The 8,795-nt window shown below is 38.3% G+C and overlaps 1 annotated feature.

Moving 5' to 3' along the window:
* Positions 5,137 to 5,637: an enhancer, noted in NCBI's record as "H3K4me1 hESC enhancer chr4:135129339-135129839 (GRCh37/hg19 assembly coordinates)". NCBI's record gives its function as "activates a minimal SCP1, AML or CMV promoter by ChIP-STARR-seq in naive H9 embryonic stem cells {active_cell/tissue: H9 hESC(naive)}" and the evidence as "EXISTENCE:reporter gene assay evidence [ECO:0000049][PMID:30033119]".

Genomic DNA, 8,795 nt, shown 5'->3' on the forward strand with positions numbered 1-8,795 from the left:
GGAAGCTCACCTTCTCTACTCTTTGAACAACAAATAAAGTTTCTGCTCTGCTTAACAGAACCTCCCGTCTTTCTACTGTCTCAATGGCAACAGGCAGGTAAAGGACCCACTGGGGTAAAACAACCCCTCTTCAGGGCAGAACATTACCTGCAAATCTGAATTGGGTGGATCAGTTAATGTAAGGCAAATTTAGTACTTTTTCACTTTACTGGACATAGGAAAAAACTAGTGCTCTTGTTGAAAAAGCAGATTCTGATTCAGTAGCTTGAGGTGGACCTGAGATTCAACTTTTCGAACAAGTTCCTGAGTGATGCAAATTCTGCTGGTCTCTGAACCACACTGAGTAGCAAGACTAAATGAATCCTCATTTAGAGGGATCTTTTCTAATGTAAGAACTGGAAAACTAAAAATATGTGTTTAACTTGCAGAAGATAATAATACTCTAGCAAAATTCATTCTTAGAAATGCATTAAATAAAACTGGAGCATGATTTTCACTATAAAATCCAAATTGATTGTAATCTATCTAAAATTTCCTATGTGGGAGATGAGAAGATGCCACTCCAAAATATGAGAGATTACTGAGCTGAAGATAATTAAGAAGAAGCAGATGCAGGAAAGCTCACTGCCCTCCATCTACTTGCCTAAAAGCATGATAGAGTTATAATGAAAAATGTTACCTTGCCCTCCCCAAACCCACTCGCAAATGTTAGCCACTGAAGACAACTTTGGACCCTATCAGCCTGGAGAAGGTACGAGAGGAATCTATATTAACAAATTTTAACAAGATAACTAGCATTTATCTACCATTGATTGATTCACCTTCCCCCAAGTTGCTGCCCGTAACAACTTAAAGTCCTTTTTTGTTTGTTTTACCACTTCTCTAAGAATTTACTTAGAAGAAGAAGGTGCTATATAATCTGAAATTCACCAAAGAGGTGAGTCACCTCTTTGAGAACTACTCATTATATATTTTATATATACATGAGAATATATGTAAAATATACATACTCATGTACATATAAAATATTTTATATGTACATGAGAGTATAAAATATATATGCTAAATTACACATGAACTTGTTTGTTTTTCTCTTGTTTTTGTTTTTTTGTTTTGTTTTGTTTTAGTTTGTAATTTTTTTAGGCAGGGTCTCACTCTGTTAGCCAAGCTGGAGTGCAGTGATGCAAACAGGGCTCTCTGCACCTTGGACTTCCTGGGCTCAAGCAGTCCCTCCACCTCAGCCTCTCTAAGAGTTGGAACAACAGACACATGCCACCATGCCAGGCTATTTATTTATTTATTTATGTTTTATTGTGGAGACAGGGTCTTGCCTGTTGACCAGGACTATCTCCAGTTCCTGGGCTCAAGTGATCCTCCTGCCTTAGCCTCTCAGAATGCTAGGATTAGAGGCATAAGTCACTGTGCCTGGCTGTTTGTAAAATTTATTTCAATATGTGTTGTTCCTGTAGCATCATTTGTTCAAATAAATAAATACAGTAATCTTTTCTTTCAGCCTGTCTTGAAATCTGCAATTTTAAAAAGGAAAAGAAATCACCAACATAGTTGTAGATACCATTAATGGATTTGGGCAGTACTCCAGCACATACTTTAAGAATTTAGATGCTATTTGGTGTTGTTTAACATAAATAAAACAGTGATTACTATGTTCAATATTATCAGGAGTTTTTTTTTTTGTTTTTGTTTTTTAAGAAAGCTCCTAAGTGTGTAGTCCCTAAGAATTTAGTCTTAAGATTTTTAATTTCTAAAAAATATAGTTTAGATCTCATCAGTTCTTTGTGTTGTTTGAATACAACGGTACTTCAGCTATAACAAGATACCAAAATATTTCAAGAACTTGTGGGTTTTTCATTTTACCTTAGTGTGATCTTCACTCGACATTTTGTGAAAAATGAGAAGAATCTCCAAATTTAGAATTTAGTCCTACATTCTCTAATCAACTTACAGGCAACTGGTACAAACCTCAGTTGGTTAAATGACTAATTATTATACATCTTCCTATTTGTTCTAGTTATGGTGTTTTTCTTTTTATATTTTAACAAATACAGCATTTTTTAAGTAACTATGATTCTTCCTTGTCTTTAATTCACTAAATCTCCTCTTTTTGTCAGTTGTGTTCAGTGAATAATTTCTTCACTTGGGGTGTCCTTTACATTTGCCCTTTCTTTCCCTTCCCTTTGCTACTGCCTTTACTTCATTTCCTTGTATATTACTGCATGAGTCTTATTCATTCACCTTCTTTGATTCGGGCTGTCTGTATATCAGTCCATGTTGCATTTTGTTACTGGAATAATTTTACTAATCTCTCTTTCATAACATTTTAGTAAAAAAATAGCAAATGACACCAAAGACTGCAAGATCAATATCATTGTAACTACATATATTTTCTCTTGTCAAGCTAATCCCTCGCTTGCTTTATATGTACATGCAGTTAATTCTTTTAAAAATAGAAAGGAATGCAATATATTTGAAGAGATTATCTGCATTCTCTTGTTTATTACAGTACTATTCACAACAGACAAGATTTATGGAATCAACTGAAGTGTCCACCAGTGGATGAATGAATAAATAAAATGTGTGTGTGTGTGTGTGTGTATATATATGCATATATATATGTATATATACACAATGGAATATTATGCAACCATAAAAAAGATTGAAATCCTGTCATTTGCAGCAACATGGTTGGAACTGGAAGTCATTATGTTAATTGAAATAGGCCAGGGACAGAGAGATAAATATTGCATGTTCTAACTCATATGTGAGAGCTAAAAAATTGAATCTCTTGAAAATAGACAGTAGATTGCCTAATCTTGAAAAAAAATTGTAATTTTGCCTACCTTATGTTATTTAGTTCAATTGCCCTCCAATGTACAAGGTTGTTGTGTGGGTGGCTCACAGAATTAGGAGAGGATGAGACTGCTGTTTTGCTTAAATGGCAGGAAAACCGTCAGTATTTCTACTCACTGATATTCACAGCAATGGAAGTTATTGTTTATTTTGGTATTTATCATGAAGATATTAATAAGTAGCTATTTTGGGTATGGAAATGCATTTTAAAATAAAAATCTCTCATACTAAATTAGGTAAAATTAGTTTCTGAAGTCTTGAATCATTGTTCTGATGTAGTCAACTATTAATAAAATTTTTGTTATTTGAGTTCAAAATGGTCTTTATTGCCTTAATACATAGTAATTAAATAAAGAAAACTTGTTTTTGTTGTATTATGAAACTACCATGTTCAATTTACTACAAAGTATAATATTGTATCTTTCAGATTATTTGGTTCTTTTTTTTGACAATAATCTCTTTCCAGTTGTTATTTGTTATTGTTGTTGTTGCTTGTGTTTTTCGTTTTGTTTTTCTTACCCAAATATAGTGTTAATTTCTTGAGAATGAGGAATATGATTTACATTTCAGAGTTACCTTTCTCTATATGGCACATATGGAAATTTTTCAATAAGTAATGCTTGATTGCTAGTAGATCTTGATGAAAGGTAAATGTCCCCCAAGGCTGAAATAGATGGTGTCAATCATCACATATCACCTGATATACAGCTTTGAGCAGAATAAAAACAATGGAAATTCATTTACTTCAATCCCAAGCTGTCATCACACCAGTAGAAACTGATGTGAAGACTTACTTTATGATAAAAGGTTGCTTCGTTTATGTACATCCCCTGATCCTCCTCTGTCCCCCACCACAAACTCAGTCATTTCAATGAGAAAGATAATTAGAGATAGGGCCAAGGCTCCTAAGAGAAATAAGACAATAACATCATTCAGACCTATTTAAGAGAAAGATAAATAACATTATTCAGATCTATGTAAGCATACTGAGGTATTATATTTCAGGAAATAGCGTCAAATTTCAGTGGTTTTATTAGATACTGATACCCAAGTTATAATACTGCCTGGTTCCCTGGCAGGTGAGAGTGCCCAAATCCAGCTGATGGGGTTTAGACAATGTTCACAGTAGGGAAAGAAGCTAAATGGACCTTGTGGGCTGCTTCATTGGACCAATTTAATGTACCATTTTTACTTATTTTACAACTGATTTATAACCAATTTCACAACAAAATTTATAATAGGAATTTATATGTTAGATGCTTATACATTTCTACAAATTGGCAGATTCTAGGGCACTGAACTGTGGAAATAAATTGCTATCCCTTATAGAAACATCTTGGTCCTTCATGTAGATGCCATATTAAGGGTCATTCACTCATAAGATAGTAATTGAGCTGGAGATTGACCTCGCACCACTCAGACTGCTACCATTGCTAACTGTGTCCATCAATATATCATACATTTTCTGACTTGCTTTTGAGGCAAGGAAGGCTACATGGCATTGAGTTCTGACGACTCCTGGAAAGCTCTAGTGGGATAACACTTCTTGAGGCTATCAGTGCTGTCCCACCACCATTGATCCATTTTTAGGTTGCAGTGTTACGGTTTAAATTCTATCAGCCCACTGCGGCTACACTATTGTGGCCTTTGGAACGAAAGTCTTACATTTTTAGTTTTTAGAACCAGAAATATTGACAGTCTGACAATGGAATATCTTCTATCATGAAACCCACTCTACAACACCTTGATAATCAAGATAGACTTCAATAGACTTTCCTTATGCCAAACTATCTGTAGAAATCAGGTTGTGCTGAAAATTGGAATGTCCTTCTTAAAAAAATCAGTTCGAGATGTAGATCGGGCAGCAAAGATGGCCAAATAGGAACAGCTCTGGTCTACAGCTCCCAGCGCGAGCAACACAGAAGACGAGTGATTTCTGCATTTCCATCTGAGGTACTGGGTTCATCTCACTAGGGAGTGCCAGACAGTGGGCGCAGGACAGTGGGTGCAGCGCACAGTGCGTGAGCTGAAGCAGGGCGAGGCATTGCCTCACTTGGGAAGTGCAAGGGGTCAGGGAGTTCCCTTTCCTAGTCAAAGAAAGGGGTGACAGACAGCACCTGGAAAATCGGATTACTCCCACCCGAATACTGCTCTTTTCCGACGGGCTTAAAAAATGGTGCACCAGGAGATTATATCCCGCACCTGGCTCGGGGGATCCTATGCCCACGGAGTCTCACTGATTGCTAGCACAGCAGTCTGAGATTAAACTGCAAGGCAACAGCGAGGCTGGGGGAGGGGCGGCCGCCATTGCCCAGGCTTGCTTAGGTAAACAAAGCAGCCAGGAAGCTCGAACTGGGTGGAGCCCACCACAGCTCAAGGAGGCCAGCCTGCCTCTGTAGGCTCCACCTCTGGGGGCAGGGCACAGACAAACAAAAAGACAGCAGTAAGCTCTGCAGACTTAAATGTCCCTGTCTGACAGCTTTGAAGAGAGCAGTGGTTCTCCCAGCACGCAGCTGGAGATCTGAGAACTGGCAGACTGCCTCCTCAAGTGGGTCCCTGACCCCTGACACCCGAGCAGCCTAACTGGGAGGCACCCCCCAGTAGGGACAGACTGACACCTCATAAGGCCGGGTACTCCTCTGAGACAAAACTTCCAGAGGAACAATCAGACAGCAGCATTCGCGGTTCACGAAAATCCGCTATTCTGCAGCCACCGCTGCTGATATCCAGGCAAACAGGGTCTGGAGTGGACCTCTAGCAAACTCCAACAGACCTGCAGCTGAGGGTCCTGTCTGTTAGAAGGAAAACTAACAAACAGAAAGGACATCCACACCAAAAACCCATCTGTACATCACCATCATCAAAGACCAAAAGTAGATAAAACCACAAAGATGGGGAAAAAACAGAGCAGAAAAACTGGAAACTCTAAAAAGCAGAGTGCCTCTCCTCCTCCAAAGGAACGCAGTTCCTCACCAGCAATGGAACAAAGCTGGATGGAGAATGACTTTGACGAGTTGAGAGAAGAAGGCTTCAGACGATCAAACTACTCCAAGCTACAGGAGGAAATTCAAACCAAAGGCAAAGAAGTTAAAAACTTTGAAAAAAATTTAGACAAATGTATAACTAGAATAACCAAATACAGAGAAGTGCTTAAAGGAGCTGATGGACCTGAAAGACAAGGCTCGAGAACTACGTGAAGAATGCAGAAGCCTCAGGAGCTGATGCGATCAACTGGAAGAAAGGGTATCAGGATGGAAGATGAAATGAATGAAATGAAGTGAGAAGGGAAGTTTAGAGAAAAAAGAATAAAAAGAAATGAACAAAGCCTCCAAGAAATATGGGACTATGTGAACAGACCAAATCTACATCTGATTGGTGTACCTGAAAGTGACGGGGAGAATGGAACCAAGTTGGAAAACACTCTGCAGGATATTATCCAGGATCACTTCCCCAACCTAGCAAGGCAGGCCAACATTCAGATTCAGGAAATACAGAGAACGCCACAAAGATACTCCTTGAGAAGAGCAACTCCAAGACACATAATTGTCAGATTCACCAAAGTTGAAATGAAGGAAAAAATGTTAAGGGCAGCCAGAGAGAAAGGTTGGGTTACCCACAAAGGGAAGCCCAACAGACTAACAGCGGATCTCTCAGCAGAAACTCTACAAGCCAGAAGAGAGTGGGGGCCAATATTCAACATTCTTAAAGAAAAGAATTTTCAACCCAGAATTTCATATCCAGCCAAACTAAGCTTCATAAGTGAAGGAGAAATAAAATACTTTACAGACAAGCAAATGCTGAGAGATTTTGTCACCACCAGGCCTGCCCTAAAAGAGCTCCTGAAGGAAGCACTAAACATGGAAAGGAACAACCGGTACCAGCCGCTGCAAAATCATGCAAAAATGTAAAGACCATCGACACTAGGAAGAAACTGCATCAACTAATGAGCAAAATCACCAGCTAACATCATAATGACAGGATCAAATTCACACATAACAATATTAACTTTAAATGTAAATGGACTAAATGCTCCAATTAAAAGACACAGACTGGCAAATTGGATAAAGAGTCAAGAACCATCAGTGTGCTGTATTCAGGAAACCCATCTCACATGCAGAGACACACATAGGCTCAAAATAAAAGGATGGAAGAAGATCTACCAAGCAAATGGAAAACAAAAAAAGGCAGGGGTTGCAATCCTAGTCTCTGATAAAACAGACTTTAAACCAACAAAGATCAAAAGAGACGAAGAAGGCCATTATATAATGGTAAAGGGATCAATTCACCAACAAGAGCTAACTATCCTACATATATATGCACTCAATACAGGAGCACCCAGATTCATAAAGCAAGTCCTGAGTGACCTACCAAGAGACTTAGACTCCCACACAATAATAATGGGAGACCTTAACACCCCACTGTCAACATTAGACAGATCAATGAGACAGAAAATTAAAAAGGATACCCAGGAATTGAACTCAGCTCTGCACCAAGCGGACCTAATAGACATCTACAGAACTCTCCACCCCAAATCAACAGAATATACATTTTTTCAGCACCACACCACACCTATTCCAAAATTGACCACATAGTTTGAAGTAAAGCTCTCCTCGGCAAATGTAAAAGAACAGAAATTATAACAAACTGTCTCTCAGACCACAGTGCAATCAAACTAGAACTCAGTATTAAGAAACTCACTCAAAACCGCTCAACTACATGGAAACTGAACAACCTGCTCCTGAATGACTATTGGGTACATAATGAAATGAAGGCAGAAATAAAGATGTTCTTTGAAACCAACGAGAACAAAGACACAACATACCAGAATCTCTGGGACACAGTCAAAGCAGTGTGTAGAGGGAAATTTATAGCACTAAATGCCCACAAGAGAAAGCAGCAAAGATCCAAAATTGACACCCTAACATCACAATTAAAAGAACTAGAAAAGCAAGAGCAAACACATTCAAAAGCTAGCAGAAGGCAAGAAATAACTAAAATCAGAGCAGAACTGAAGGAAATAGAGACACAAAAAACCCTTCAAAAAATTAATGAATCCAGGAGCTGGTTTTTTGAAAGGATCAACAAAATTGATAGACCGCTAGCAAGACTAATAAAGAAAAAAAGAGAGAAGAATCAAATAGACACAATAAAAAATGATAAAGGGGATATCACCACTGATCCTACAGAAATACAAACTACCATCAGAGAATACTACAAACACCTCTACGCAAATAAACTAGAAAACCTAGAAGAAATGGATAAATTCCTCGACACATACACTCTCCCAAGACTAAAGCAGGAAGAAGTTGAATCTCTGAATAGACCAATAACAGGCTCTGAAATTGTGGCAATAATCAATAGCTTACCAACCAAAAAGAGTCCAGGACCAGATGGATTCACAGCCGAATTCTACCAGCGGTACAAGGAGGAACTGGTACCATTCCTTCTGAAACTATTCCAATCAATAGAAAAAGAGGGAATCCTCCCTAACTCATTTTATGAGGCCAGCATCATCCTGATACCAAAGCTGGGCAGAGACACAACCAAAAAAGAGAATTTTAGACCAATATCCTTGATGAACATTGATGCAAAAATCCTCAATAAAACACTGGCAAATGGAATCCAGCAGCACATCAAAAAGCTTATCCACCATGATCAAGTGGGCTTCATCCCTGGGATGCAAGGTTGGTTCAAAATACGCAAATAAATAAATGTAATCCAGCATATAAACAGAGCCAAAGACAAAAATCACATGATTATCTCAATAGATGCAGAAAAGGCCTTTGAGAAAATTCAACAACCCTTCATGCCAAAAACTCTCAATAAATTAGGTATTGATGGGACGTATCTCAAAATAATAAGAGATATCTATGACAAACCCACAACCAATATCATACTGAATGGGCAAAAACTGGAAGCATTCCCTT

This window comes from Homo sapiens, chromosome 4 (genome assembly GCF_000001405.40).
Source record: "Homo sapiens chromosome 4, GRCh38.p14 Primary Assembly".
Lineage (NCBI taxonomy): Eukaryota > Metazoa > Chordata > Mammalia > Primates > Hominidae > Homo > Homo sapiens.